Source organism: Homo sapiens, chromosome 4 (assembly GCF_000001405.40).
Source record: "Homo sapiens chromosome 4, GRCh38.p14 Primary Assembly".
Taxonomy (NCBI): Eukaryota; Metazoa; Chordata; class Mammalia; order Primates; family Hominidae; genus Homo; species Homo sapiens.
The window spans coordinates 159,225,952-159,242,246 of record NC_000004.12 but is presented as its reverse complement, the minus strand read 5'-3'; the positions used below and the strand labels follow the sequence as shown (position 1 = coordinate 159,242,246).

General features: G+C 34.6%; 1 protein-coding gene across 4 annotated transcripts in view; it reads right to left on the bottom strand.

The window, feature by feature from the left end:
• RAPGEF2 (Rap guanine nucleotide exchange factor 2) overlaps positions 1 to 16,295 on the bottom strand; it is a 257,095-nt gene that overhangs the window by 117,927 nt on the left and 122,873 nt on the right. For 2 of the 4 annotated variants that reach the window (NM_001351724.5, NM_001394067.2), the window contains exons 5-6: positions 3,363 to 3,438; positions 879 to 1,046 (exon numbers count right to left, since the gene is read on the bottom strand). In NM_001351724.5, coding sequence (NP_001338653.1) covers positions 879 to 1,046; positions 3,363 to 3,438 — 244 coding nt within the window. Of the gene's footprint in view, positions 1 to 878; positions 1,047 to 3,362; positions 3,439 to 12,716; positions 12,870 to 14,500; positions 14,570 to 16,295 lie in introns of those variants that run through there. The other 2 variants (NM_001351726.3, NM_001351725.2) reach the window with 2 other exon arrangements.

Genomic DNA, 16,295 nt, shown 5'->3' with positions numbered 1-16,295 from the left:
AATGGTATTATATGCATAAATGATCTTTCACATTATTATGACATATCCAGGAATCTAAGCGACTTTGCTCTTGAAAAAACAAAGGAATAAGAAAAAAAAGGCTTTAAAGTGACTTTATTGAGATCTTGAACAAAGCACTCATTATCTATGTCTTGGTTTCCTCAAACATAAAAAGCAGTTTATTTATCAATATTTATGAAATAAATGACAATGAACTGGGTTATGTCTGCCTGCCTTTAAGAGGATCTTTGAACCTATTAGAAATATTTCTAAGCATCTTTACATTGAGATTTTAAAAAGCATTATTTCAAATTATTCCTCCTTCACTGCATTAAAAAATAAATCTCAGAGATATTCTCATAAAGGTATAAAAAGCTATGAAAAATAATGTAATTTTTACATATCTACTTTTAAAATAAAAAACAGGGATGACAGCAGTCATTTGGGTTGGGAGTGAAGGGTGGAGTGCACAGGAGGGCGCTAAAATGTTAGATTAAGGTAAAACAACTTAAAATATTCCAATTACAATTACATGTGCTTATCACAAAGCTGATCTTCAGAGAACAACTTAAGAAATAAAGGAGCTAGCAAAGTCTGTTGACATGTTATTTCAATGTCTTTTAAAAACTAATCATATCATGTTTCCCAGAAAAATCTACTCTTTCTATAATAAATGTTTAAATAATATATACATATTATATATTTATTTTTATATTTATTAATATAACAAATAAAAATAAATATTTAAGTATACTTAATGTGTGTGTATATATATATAATTGAAAAGATTTGTCAAAAATGGAAAACTTAAACATCTTTTCACAAAACCCCAACAAAAAACTAGAAATAAATAAAAATATTATACTTGTATAACTTACCGTGTGATAGCCTCTAGGCAAAGGAGGTTTGCCCATGGGATAAGGATCCACAGTGTCAATAATTGTTTGTCTTTCACCTTTCTGGTTGATTTTTCTAAATCTCCTTCGAGACTGTCTATGGGAAGCTTGCCGCTGAAAATATTCTTCATTTTCATCCATATAGTCCACCTGAAATAAAACCCCCCAAAATTTCATTTCTCCAAACACAACATTTCCTATTAATATTAGATACAGAAAGAAACTTACAGATAACCCATATTCAATCATCTTGCAAAGACATCTGTAGAAAACTATCTAGACAAACTTCAAGTGTCTCTGAACTTCTCTGGAACTAACTGGTTTTGAGTAACATTTCTTTTATGAGGAGGCATTTTCAGTTCCACTTAGGACAATATGGGTAACTCTTGAATTTCCTGTAGTTTCAAAGGGAAGGATATTTTCAGCAGTCTTTGTACTGATTTATTAGTGAAAGATCTCACAGGATACATTACCACACATTATGAAAGCAACTGCCACACTGTCTTAAGCAACGTAGAAAAAAGAAAAAAAAAAAAAAAAAAACCCTGATGGAAATCTGTAAAAACTTCCAAATCCTGAATGACTCAAAAACAGTGCTAACAGAATGGCTTTGGTAGGTTACGCAAGGGTTTCTCCTTCTACTTTCATTCCATGACTTCGGTTTCTTTTTTTATAAATAGTGTTGTTTAAAAGTAATTCCTCATTTAAAAAAATTTTAGGCCAGGCACAGTTGCTCACGCCTGTAATCCCAGCACTTTGGGAGGCCGAGGCGGGTGGATCACGAGGTCAGGAGTTCAAGACCAGCCTGGCCAACATGGTGAAACCCCATCTCTGCTAAAGATACAAAAAAGTAGCTGGGTGTGGTGGCACGTGCCTGTAATCCCAGCTACCCGGGAGGCTGAGGCAGGAGAATTGCTTGAACCCAGGAGGTGGAGGTTGCAGTGAGCTGAGATCGCGCCACTGCACTTCAAGCTAGACAACACGACAAGACTCCGTCTCCAAAAAAAAAAAAAAAAAAAGTAGAAATGCTGATGAATGAACAGGGAATAAAAGTTACATTAGGTTATTCCTCATGTGACTTCTCATAATGGAGGCATGTCTAGGTTACAAAACTGTTCTCACACCAGCAAACCTAGTAGTTTGTGTAGTATCAGCAAGTATAAAATACTCAGTTTTAAAGACTAAAAATCCTCCAGAGAAATCTAAAAGTAGCATTAACAGAGGGCAAAATCTCAAGGAAATATCTAAGACTATCTACTGTTGGAAAGTGCTATATATCTGCCTACATTCTTCCCAATCCTAAATCCTTACCATTACTATGCTACTTTCTCACTTGAGTACGTTTTGTAAAACTTTACCAAATATTTTAGTAAATTTTACAAAAAGTTCGCTAGCTTTGATGAGGAAGTTCTCATTTCTGACAGAATTCCTCTCCTACATCATAGGGAAAAACCCTACATCTTCTCTGAAAAGAGACCTAGAATTGTTTACTAAATACTTTACTAAATGTGAATAAAAGTTTCCATCATCATCTTTATTTAGACATCATTTACTTTACAAGATCTTCCTTCCCAGCTAGGGTGCTGGATGGAGACAGTAAGAATATCAACTGAATGTCTAGGCTGGGAAACTCCCCTTCCACCTCATCTTATTTTTGTTACTAAATTTTTTAAAGGGTACATATTATCCTATCTTAAAATCATTCTTATACAGTAAGTAAAAAGTATGACAGGTTTGGTTTTTAAGCTTCAAAGTATGTTGCTAATATCTATTTTAACAATATGTTCTATGTATAATCTCTGTTTATAAATTTTTGTCACAAAATTACATTAAAAAGAGGGAAAAGATGTCAACAGAGTGTTTAACCAGCATAATAATCCCCAAATTTCCTTTTAATAACTTGAAAAAATTCAAGTGATTTTCTTGTGTTTTTTAAAATAGTGTTGTTTAAAAAATAATTCCTCATTTAAAACATCTTAGAAACTCTAATGAATGAATTAACAGTGAACACAAGTTCCATTTGGTTATTCCTCACGATTGCTCACAATGGAGGCATGTTTAGATTCCAAAATTGTTCTCACACCAGCAAACCTAGTGATTGATTTAAAGTAAGTCACTCATTCCAATCAACACTTGGAGAGCTAAAATCCTGCAATCAAGAGATTCTCCCCAAATTTCAATTAAATGGCATTATTATAGATTGAATTACAAAGTACAAAAACCAAACACTTAGCTACTTGTACTTTTTAAATTTTTTTGGCATTTAATTGAATCCTGTAAATAATAAAATATGATTATGAACTCAAATTCATATTAATAAAAAGTTGTGAAATAAATATATCTGTTATAGAAAATATACAATATTTTCTATTCAACAAAAATCTAATATTATAAGCAGTTTATAAAAATGCCTTTATTTCATACAATTTTTTAGGGGAAAAATAGTCCTCACAGAAATACTCTTACCACAATCATTTCAGAAGGCTCTAAAACAATGCATTCACAGCCACGCCTAAAACTTCCTGCAGAACGCTTGCCAAAACTAGAAAGAAAGAAAAAAAAAATCAATGAGGAGAACCTCAGAGATTTAAGTAGTATGATTTGTGAACATAAGCCAAACTTCCTGATAAATAAAAATTAAAAACAATTACAAAAAGTACACATTGGAGAAAGTGAATTATCTTTAATAATTTACACAGAATGACAAGAAAGCATTCAAATTCTTAAGTTTCAGTCATAGATTTTTCTGGAAAATTCTAACATAATATTTTCAAATTAATAATGTAAGTAAAGGAGAATTATTAGCATGAGTGAGTTTTCTGTTAGGTTATTTTAAATCATCCTCAGGTGAACTTTGAGAATATTCCAGTAGGGATGGGAAATGTCTCAGTGGCAAACTATAGAAATGTCCCAAAGAAGTATAAAATGCATGTACATGTAATTCTCTTCATAACTTAACTTGCTTAGGTTAAACTTTTTTTTCACCTAAAAAGTGTGTTTATTTTCCTAAATTTTCAAATCAACTTATTCTAAATGTTTTAAGAAAAAGATACTCAACTTAAGACTTTATTTCTATGGTAAAGTTATTTCAGTTGATGTACTACTAAAAGCTCATTCCTCCTGAGAACTCTGCACGAGTGAACACAGACATAGCACCTTTGCCTTATCTGTGGTGAATTCCCACGTTAAGAATGGTGAAGATGTATTGTTTCTGACATAGGGATATGCAAACTAGAATTAAGAACAGAGAATTTGGGTGAAGCTCTTTTTGTTAATATAACACCTCACTCATTCACAAAAATCTTTCCTTCCAGTTAATTTTTTTTTTTTTAAGAGACAAGGTCTCACTCTGTCACCCAAGCCACAGTACAGTGGCACAATCACAGCTCACTGCAGCCTTGAACTCCTGAACTCAAGCAACCCTCCTGCCTCAGACTCCCAAGTAGCTGGGACTACAGGTGCGTACCACCATACCTGGCTTTTTTTTTTTTTTTTTTTTTTTTTTTTTAATTTTTGTAGAGACAAAGTCTAGCTATGTTGCCCAGGTTGGTCTTGAACTTAGGGCCACAATCAATCTTCCCTCCTCTGCCTCCCAAAGTTCTGGGATTACAGATGTGAGCCTAATATTAAAATTTTTGGTAATCATATTTAATAAACTTATCTTTAAGAAAAAAATGCTTTAAAATTCTACCAAAAAACTATTTCATTGAACAATTTTTTTCCAAGTTAATTAGGCACTGTGAGGGACTCCTATGGAAATTCTTGTTCTATTTATAATCCTCTTTATGTCATAGTAATACACATATTTCAAGTATTAGGAGCCAAGTCACGTAAGAGGAAGAAAACAGAAAAGCCAACATTCTCCTTCTATCATCTGCAATCTCTAGCAAACTATCTTGACCACATCATATGATAAATTTTATTTGTTTACAGGTTATCAGGTTAGACTAGGCCATCACTTAAGTCCTTTTCCTTAATAATAATTATCTGATTGTTAAAGATAATTAAGTCCTTTTCCAAAATCATTTCCGGCCACGCGCGATGGCACCTGCTTGTAATCCCAGCATTTTGGAAGCCTGAGGAGGGCTGATCACTTGAGCCCAGGAGTTCGAGACCAGCTTGGGCAACATGGTGAAACCCCGTCTCTACTAAAAATACAAAAATTAGCCAGGCATGGTGGTACAAGCCTGTAGTCCCAGCTACTCAGGAAGTTGAGATGGGAGGATCACTTGAGCATGGGAGGCAGAGGTTGCAGTGAGCCAAGAATGTGCCACTGCACTCTAGCCTGGGCAACAGAGTAAAACCCTGTCTTGAAAAGAAGAAAAAGTTTCCATGAAAATCAAAACCAGCATCATATTTAACATATTTGAAAAAAAATTTTTTGATATTCATATATACATTCACACATATATGCCCACACAAACATACACATTAGAGTACTTTTAAGTGAAAACATTTGCCAGGAACAACATAATAAATCTATCTTCATGTTACTTCTCATGCAATTTAAATGACCTGAATTTTTACACATTTCTTTTAGCTTACAGTTAAATACAACTGAAATTCCATAACTCTTCAATATACACAAAAGTTTGAGTTTCTGAATCTACCTATTTGCAATTTAATTTTTTAAAATGAAGCTTATAATTATACACTGCAAATAAATAATCTCAATGTGTTAGTAAAATATGTGGCAGGTTACAGACTTGGACAAGTTTATAAATATAGTGGTCTAATGTTTATGCGTTTTTAAATGTAACATAGTAAAAAATCATAAATGTTTGTAATGTATACACTGTTCATATAATACTTGATACAAAAACATATGCTAGAATTGTTTACAAATTTTAGCAGCAAAAGATGTTAATGTTCACATAAATAAACTATATAACTGTTATTTATTTTATATATAAATCTAGTACCATCTTCACCACTCCAGGATTTAAGGCGTAAATCCTCTTACCAATTAGTCATTCGTTCAACAGAACTTCATGGCTAGGAAGTCACACTTCAAGTTGCACTAGCACACTATTACTTTGGGGATGAAAAGTTTACATTTCCTAAAATGTGCTACACAAAAACATTTCCATAAGTGTTTTTCAGAGAGTCAGTTGCACTACAGCCTGATGAAACTTTTTCAACCATAAAAAGACTCGAGTTCCATAAACCGTCACAAAGATGTGAACAGGAGAAACTGCAGACTCTCCATCAGATATATTTATTGAATAAGCTGAATGGAAAAAGCAATGTGCACAGAACACACATTAGCAAGGGAGAATATGTTACTTCATTTACTCAACAATCTATTTTTTCAAACACAGCCAGGAATGCAGAAAGGAAGAGCAGCCTCAAAGGAGCCAAAGAGTAGGTCATGAGTGCACACGCTAGGCCTGATCAGTGACAAAGCCTCTGAGCTCTCTCACAGAGATGATGTGCTCTTAGCTCACAAACCAGAAGCTATAAGGTTGGAAGAAACAGACAAAGCAATGGAAAAAAAAATGTTAGCTAGAAATTAAGTCCACAAGTTACTTTTGCTTCTGCTCTCTGATTCTTTGAAACAGTAAATACATAAACAAAAGCAAGTAAATATGATTATTTACTACATTTTCAAAAATCTTTGGCGAAGTTCTACACAAATAAACTGAAAAAATTCAGCTCTGGAAAATAAGGACAGACTTAAAGGCAACAGATAAAGATGTATAGGAGATAAAGTACCTCACAGACAATATAAAGAACAATCCTTTTAAATATTTTAGATTACTTAGTGGAAAAAAATGGTGCAAAATCTTCAGGATTGCAAATAACAAATACACTTTGAGAGAGTGAAACAGAAAACCAGAACAGTAAGAACAAAGTACAAGACATTTTATAAAGAGTGTGAGTGCAGGCAAGCCGTAGAGGATCCAGTGTGCACAATGAAATGCTCTACACTGAAAAAGTGATCAAATGCACAGAGCATTTAACATTATACTCAACAACAGGTTCTCAGCTTTCAGTTAAAAGTTATTAATAAAAACGAAGTCTTTGAATGCATTAGCACAGCAAGATGCTTACACAACAAGTAAAATTATAAACAAAGACAAACTTTGAAATGATGGACACACAAGGAAAGAATCAAAAACAATAATTACAATGCATGCCCTTATAGAAAATCAAATCTATAAAAGGGTATTACCCTGGAAGAGTTTCTAAGGGGAAAAACACAGAACTGAAAAGTTTCTCACAAAAAATTCAGGGAATCCAAAGGGCTTTCCAAAAGACCAGATGTATAGATTAAGATAATTTTTCATAGGCTGGGCACGGTGGCTCATGTCTGTAATTCCAGCACTTTGGAAGGCCGAGGTGGGCAGAACACTTGAGGTTAGGAGTTCGAGACCAGCCTAGCCAACATGGTGAAAGCCTGTCTCTACTAAAAATACAAAAGTTAGCCAGGCATGATGGCAGGCACCTGTAATCCTAACTACTCAGGAGGCTGAGGTAGGAGAATCGCTTGAACTCAGGAGACGGAGGTCACAGTGAGTCGAGATTGCACCACTGCACTCCAGCCTGGGTAACAGAGCAAGACTCAGTCTCAAAAATAATAATAATAGGCTGGGAGCAGTGGCTCATGCCTATAATCCCCCCACTTTGGGAGGCAGAGGCAGGCAGATCACCTGAGGTCAGGAGTTTGAGACCAGACTGGCCAATAAACGGCATGAACCTGGGAGGTGGAGCTTGCAGTGAGCCGAGATCACACCACTGCATTCCAGCCTGGGCGACAGAGCGAGACTCTGTCTCAAAAAAAAAAAAAAAAAAAAAAAATTAGCCGGGCATGGTGGCATGTGCCTGAGGTCCCAGCTACTCGAGAGGCTGAGGCAGAATAATCACCTGAACCCGGAAGGCAGAGGTTGCGGTGAGACGAGATCGTTCCACTACACTCCAGCCTGGGTGACAGAGCAAGATTCCGTCTCAAAAAATAATAATATTTCATTAAGTCCTATTACACCAGCTGAAAGCCAGTATCCCTTAAGTTTCTAAAATAATCATTTTTAAAAAACTTAGAAATAATACAATTAAGGAAGAACTTGGGTAACTTAAATGTACACCTATGATCCTTCATCAAAAAATCAGAAGTAGGTAAGGATTGTTCTAAACCATGTGACTGCATTCTGATCCAAATGTGATTACATCCTGTTCCTTGGTGCCACTGTCAGAAATGGACTCAACACTATCAAATACAGCAGTTTTTTTTTTTAGTAAGTCTTATAATAAACTACATAAGGTGATCTACAGATTCAACATACCCTCTATCAAAATTAGACCAGTCTTTTTTACAGAAATGAAAAAGCTGGTCCTAAAATTCATATGGAAATTCAGGGGGCCCTAATTTGCCAAGACAATCTTGAAAAAGAACAATGAGGACTCACGCTTCCCAATTTCAAAACTTACTACAAAGCTACAGTAATCAAAATAGTGTGGTACTCAGGCCAAAAGGATAGAATTGGGAGTCCAGGAATAAACTCATACATCAATGGTCAATTGATTTTTTGTGTGTGTTAAATTAAAAGGACTTTTTTTCCTTATATATATATTTTTAAATTTTTTATTTCCATAGGTTATTGGGGAATAGGTGGCACTTGGTTACATAAGTTCTTTAGTGATTTGTGAGATTTTGGTGCCCCCATCATCCAAGCAGTATACGCTGCACACAATTTGTAGTCTTTTATCCCTCACCCCCTTCTCACACTTCCCCCGAGTCCCCAAAGTCCATTGTGTCATTATTATGCCTCTGTATCCTCACAGATTAGCTCCCACTTATGAGTGAGAACATACGATGTTTGGTTTTCCATTCCTGAGATACTTCACTTAAAATAATAGTCTCCAGTCTCATCCAGGTTGCTGCAAATGATTGACCAGTTGATTTTTGACAAGTATGCCATATCTGTTCAATGAGAGAAGAACAGAGTCTTCAACAAATGGTGGTGGGATTACTGGATTTCACATGAAAAAGAATGAAATTGGACCCCTACCGCACAAGATACACAAAAATTAACTCAAAATGAATCAACAAGCTAAATGTAAGAGCCAAAAGTAAACTATTAGTAAAAGCACAGGAATAAATCCTCATGACCTTGGAGTTGGCAATAGATTTTTAGCTCTGGAAAATAAAAGCATGAGGAGCAGGAGAATAAACATAGATAAACTAAATTTCATCAAAATTAAAAACTCTGCATCGAAGGGCCTTATCAATTAACTGAAAAGGCAACCTGCAGAATAAGAGAAAGTATTTGTAAATCACATATCTGATAAAGATTCAATATTCAAAATATATAAAAAAGTCTTAAACAACAAAAAGATAACCCAATGTAAACTTGACAAAGGATTTACATAGGCATTTCTCCAGAGAAGATACACAAAGAGCCAATATGCACATGAAAAGATTCTCAGCATCTTGAGTCATTAGAGAAAAGCAAATCAAAACCACAATAAGATACCATTTCACACCTGAAGCCACATGCAAATGAGATACCAGGATGGCTACAATTTTTTATTATTTCCCTTTTTCAAGAAAGCAAAAAGAAAGAAAAAAAATAATGTGGAGGACTTGGAACCCTGTGCATTGCTGGTGGGCATGTAAAATGATACAGCCACTGTGGAAGACAGTTTGGCAATTTCTCAAAAATCTAAACATAGAATTAACATATGACACAGCAATTCTAGCCCTAGATAAATACCAAAAAGAACTGAGAGCAGGGACTCAAACAGATATTTGTACACCAATGTTCACTGCAACATTATTCACAGTAGCCAAAATATGGAAACAACCCAAGTGTCCAACAACGGAAGAATGGATAAACAAGCTGTGGCATACACACACAAAGGAATATTATTCAGCCATATAAAGGAATGAAGTTCTGATACCTGCTACAACATGGATGAACCTTGAAAACATCCACTAAAGACAACAAACCAGCCACAAAAGTACAAATATCATATGATTCCACTTACATGAAATATCTAGAATAGGCAAATTCATAGAGACAGAAAGTCGATTCAAGGTTGCCAAGAGTTGGAGAAAGCAGTTTGGAAAGCGTAATGGTTTCGGGGTTTCCATCTGGAGTTACAGAAAAGCTTTAGAAAGAGGTAGCGCCACTAGTGGCACAACAGTGTGAATGTAATTAATGCCACTGTAACACACACTTAAATGTAACCATACATTTAAAACTAGTTAAAATGACATATTTTACATAATTTTTACTACAATTAAAAAAAGCTTAGAAAAGAAACTATAGACAGGATATCTGGGTTTACTGGCAAAAATCTGGGACTTGAATAAGAAAAAGTAGAATCTCTATTTTAACAAACAGCAAATCTTAGGAACCAAGGAAGAGTTATGTTTAATGACAGACAAACTGGGAACCCATCTCTTTTATATGATAACTTAACAATGAAGTGATAGACATTGGGTGAAAGACCTAGTTAGAGATGGGCAGAAGGTAAACAAATATGACTGAAAGACAGGTCGAGTATCCATTATCCAAAATGCTTAGCATCAGAAGTGCTTTGATTTTGGATTATTTTGGATTTGGGAATATTTGCACATATATGTGGAGCATCCCTACTCTGGAAATATGAAATCCAAAATGCTCCAATGAGCATTTCCTTTGAGCACCATGTCAGTGCTCAAAAAATTTCAAGTTTTGGAGCATTCTGTATTTGAAATTTTTGGATTAAGGATACAACTTAATATTTATTTTAAATCAAAGTTTAGAAGAGTCAATTATATGAACATTTTTCTTTCCCCTAACATTAATCTCATTTTTTCTTTATCCATGGTCATATATTTGAGGTTCTTTCTTTTTTCTCTCTCTACAAAACATATATTATTTCTCACACGGATATATGATTCATGTGAGAAACTTTTGTTTAAATTTGACATATAATGTATTTGTGAGAATATATTATATACATAACATATAACACATAACAAAATAATATGTGTGAGTAATAATATATATTAACATACAGTCATGCATTGCTTAAGAATGGAGATATGTTCTGGGAAATATGTTGTTTGGCGATTTTACTGTTGTGTGACCATCACAGAATATACTTACACAAACCAAGATGGTATAGCCTACTATAAACCTAGGCTAGATGATACAGCCTATTGCTCCTAGGCTACAAACCCATAAAGAATGTTACCGTACTGAATATTGTAGGCAATTATAACACAATGGTATATGTGTATCTAAACATCTAAACATAGAAAAGTTACAGTAAAAATACCACATTATAATCTTCTGGGATGACCACTGTATATGTGGTCCATTACTGATTAAAACATTATTACACAGTGCATGACTACATAATATTATTTCTGACATATATATTATTGTGCTATTTATTCCTCTTCCAAATGTTCACTGAACACATAACAGAATCAATATTACCAATATAAACTCAGTAATCAATACAGCGTTTACAGAAAAACTCACTAAATATAGTCCCTCTTCTTAAGTAGTTTATATTCCATGGATGACAAGTACACAAACAGCTATAACCCAATGACAAGTTGAGAAGTGAGTTTCATTGAGAGGTGAATTCTCAATGACCAGGCTCACTCACTAGCTAGTTGAGTGAAAAACACAAATCAGCATTTCTAATTCAGAAGGCAATTCAAATTCAGCAAAATTACAAATGACCATAAAGAGCTTTAGGGTTACCCCCGCAAAGATCTGAATGTCAAACCTATAAAGACCAAATCTCTTCAGGGAGCTACTGCCAGAACTTCAACTAGTAGGACATCTGCTTCTTTGAAATGGCACTCATAATACCACTTACCAAGATAAACAAGTATTTTAAAATTCAGACTCCTTAATTTTTAAAGATATATAGCTTACCTTTTCTACTTTGAATTATATATCTTTCAAAAGTTACTTCTGGTCTTCTAGTAGTTTCAGTCTTTGTGTGTATATGTGTATTTGTATATAAGACATGCTATTAACATATACATATTAACACACACATATGAATAGCTGTCTTTCAGAAACAAGAAAGATGTAGGTTAACAGTTATCAATGAGAGTTAGCCTGAATATTTTAAAAACCTGTTAGTTCTTTCTAAACAGACACCAGCGTTTGATAAGAGGTGTCTAGTTAGAGGCCATAAAGTAGGAAAAGGTGGTGGTGGAAGGGAGAAGTATGGTATATGTGTTTTAAGAATGCTGATAGTCTTCTCCTTCTACACAGAATGAAAATGTGATCACTATGGTCTAATTTAAACCCTTCTAAATTGTTCTGTATAAATACGCTGTACACCTTGCCTTTCAACAATTCAATCTCAACGTAATTTCAGCATGTCCTTAAAATCTGATATTAAACAACCACAAGATGACAACTAGAAGTGATGCAGGTTCACTTCTGGTCAATCTTTGAGTTCTCTGCCATATCAAAAAAGAAAAAAAATTAAGCCCACCAGTAAATGATTATTGAAAAGACCACTTGCAGCATATGAAACAGATTACTCCTAAATGCTAGTACTCCCTCAGTATGACTAAGGAACAACTGCTCTAAAAACAGTATAACAATTCAGACTTTCATTCTCATTAAATTTTTTGCTGAAGTTTTTATACAAAACAATTTAAAAATTAAGAATTAAAATTGTTAGCAAAATTGAAACTAAGTTAAATATTTCTACAGGTGCAAATGGTATGACTCTGTAATACCAAAAATATGAAGACAAACAATTACTAAGTAGTCTTCCATATAATATAGAGAAAACAAAACTTTCCTTCAAGACTCCCACACCGCATGAAAGTTTGGGAATGTGAAGTCTTACCTAGTTTTCGTAAATACCCATAGGCAATGAAACACCAGACAGGGTGCTGCAGGTGTTGTAAGGCCAAATTGTCCGAAGTTTCTGTGACCACATTCTCCTCTCCCAAGTTGGGTCAAGAGCACTTTCTGCCAGTGTGAGCTTTCCACGAAAGGCAGTCACAGAGCATAGAAGCCTCTTCTATCAGTGTCCCTAATCTTGCCCTTTGTATGGGCCTCCACATTCTTCTTGTACGTCAGAACTACCCAGTGGAATGCAATTCTCAGTATCGGAATGTAAACTTATTCAAGTCAGCCTACACCCAGCAAGGGAATACACAGGAGTCAAGCAGATATACTGGTGGGCAATCCTAATTTACAAAATGATTAAAAACATAATACTCCAATACATCAATTTTTTCACACCCCTGTTTCCAGAAAATGATAGGCAGTTACTACATTTTATTTTCTTCCTTAAAAAAATCTAAGTAACTGACTGGACTGATGTTCCTAAATCAAAACCAATTGATTTGTTTAGGACTTACAAAAAAACAATCACATAACATTGTCTTCAGACAGCAGAGTGGCAATTAAATTAGGGAGGAAAAGCTAACAAGTAACTGCTGATGCCATCAATTCCATTCTCAAAAATTAGTAACATATATAAGAATAAATTTTAATATAAGTATAAAAGGAAAGTGGATTGACTTTCCATAAAATACATGTAATCTTTTCTTAATAAGTTGACTCATTAGTTTAAGAAGCAAAAAAGTAACAGCTATGTTAAAAATCACACACACACATACACCAAGTACATATATAATTTACATGTGTGTGTGTAAATTGCGAACTGCTTCTAAAGCATGGACTTTAACCGGCTTCTATTTCAGAAGTATTGGGAAAACTGAATACACACTATATATCTCTAAATTTCCTTCAAGGCTCACTTACAAACATTCTAACAATCATCACCCCACATAAAATTAACAGAAGTTTGCTCCTCTGCACAGTGAATCTCAACATTTCATCTCTGCTTATAAAAATAGAGTACAAGATAAAAATTATTATACAATACGAAGGCCTTATAGCTGTGCTATTCCCCCGTTCATTCCTCAGTAGTTTGTTGTCTATTTAACAAGCACTAAACATTCGATACTTAAGCTACTAACATTTTAATTCCTTTAAAAAAAATTCTAACCTGCACTGTCTTCAGTATCTTTGAAGAACCACTAACACCAACAGTGCTGTCACCTTCTATAGGAGCTCTTTTCTCTGCAGCACTGAGCACTCCCCATTTCCCCGTGTTTTCTCCCAGTGAGTCCACGCGCGCGGCGTAGCTTGTACAGAGGCCAACATTCCATCTGACGGCTAATTTCCTGCTTCAATGACCCACCCACCTCTCCTGGCTGCAGCTATGTGTTTCGCATGTTGTATGGGCACTCTTTTCGCATACCAGCCTCATGACCTCAGCGGCTGCCTGACAGACACTCTTTATCAATTTCTATTAATTCATTATCTACTCTCTTGTAAGTCGAGGGCAAGTAGGGAAATCTGCAATGTCTGCTCTCCTCTGAGTCTTCAAGGTCAAATGCTTTGTGCTGGCAATACAATTTTGTTATTAAAATTTACCCAAGCTGTACTACAAACTAGTTGCTCTCCGCCAAAGAGATGCTGAACTGTATACCTGGCCTGAGGGATTACCATGGAAAATACTAGAATAAATTTAAATCAAAACAGCATGGGAAAAGGTAAAAGAGGCTGCTTTTGCTGTCATTTTTCCCTTCAAGAGAAAAAAAAGGTGGCTCTTACCTCAGCTGTATTGGGGTGAAGAGAGCAAGCAGTTTTTCTCTCTTGCCACAATCTAAACCAGCAAAGATCAGTGGTGTGATGACTACACTTTGGTAGTGTCTATGTCCTCGTGACCAAACTGCTAGAGAACAGCTCAGCTAAATTAATCTGCTGCTATCAGTCTACACAGTGGCACAAACAGGTCTCTGCTGATCACAGTGCTTTGTACACAGATGGCAGCTGATCAGTTTGTATAAAAGTTATGGTCCATAACAGCTTTTCTTTTCAGCATGTAGACACATGCCCATCCAATATACTTTTGTTAAACGTTCACCATTTCATTGTGCAAAGCTGGCCGTGTATGAGTTGTATAGACAAGGAAGCTTAGCTCTAATATCTTATCTTCAAATGACCTTATTTTTTATAAAATTCATTCAAGAAGCAAAATAAACAATTACATTAAGAAATAACCAAACAGATCTATGTAACATATTAATGAGAAAAATGGCAGATGAATATAATGAATGATTCAGATTGGCCCTAAGCAAGTAAGAACCTGAACTGATCTCAAGAATCAAACAAGATTTCAAGAATCAGAACTAAACATCTGATATTCTTTAAAGCTCTATGTTAATGGCATCAAAACCTAGCCACTAACCTGCCCAAAATTTGGCACATACCACAAGAGAAGTTGAAATGGTAAGTATTTCTTTGTAAGACTGAACCTCAACAAAAATTCAGGTCACTTGAAAAATACTGTATTCATAATTCTTAGAAGTTAAAAGAACACATGTGCAAGAAAGGAAAAGCATAAACTCGTACACATATATAATCTTTTACAAAGATATCAAGTAATAAAATGGCAATTGATTTAATTCATCTGAATTAAATGTGGACTTTTCTCATGAGCCCATACTTGTTCTGTAAGTGAAAGACTGTTTCTAATGCTACCAATAACTAACACTGGCAATATTGCTTAACCTCTGTTTCAGAGACTCTCCCTTATAGACTGAAGTGGTAAAAACCTATTACTTATAATCAAAACATAAAATACTGAGGAATAAATACAATGAAGAATGTGTATGATCTGTACACTAAAAACTACCAAAGGGAACTTAACCTTGCAAAGGGAAATTCTAGAAAACTTAAATGGAGAAAGAGTTCGCGGTTTGGAAAGCTCAATATTGTTAAGATAGTAATCTTTCCCAAGTTGATATATAGACTCAGTGCAATTCCAACCAAATCCTAACAAACATTTTTTTGGCACTGATAACCTGGTTTAAAATTTATATAAAAAGGCAAGGACAGAATAAAAACAATCAAGAACAAAGTAGGGATTTATGCTACATGACTTCAAAAGTGACTATAAAGTTACACAAATGTGGTATTGGTGGAAGAACTGACATGTAAAGCAAAGGAACACAAGACAGATTCCAGAGACAGATCTAAACAAATATTTTATAGTTAATTTATTTTTACAATTAATTGATTTTAAACAAACATGCCAAGGCAATTTGATGGATTGAAGATACTTTTTTCAATAAACTCTTCTAGAACAACTGAATATCTGTAGGAAGAAATGTAAACCTCAACCCTTTACCTCATACCACACACAAAAATTAAATCAAAATAGATGTCAGACCTAAATGGAGGAAGTAAAACTATTACCTTTCTAGAAGAAAAACATGAGGAAACCTTTATGACATCAGGTTAAAGAAAGATTTCTTAACAAGGACACTAAAAGTACAAATTATAAAAAAGGAGGTTGACAACATGGACTTCATCAAGATTAAAAGACTTAACTTTCAAAAAGACA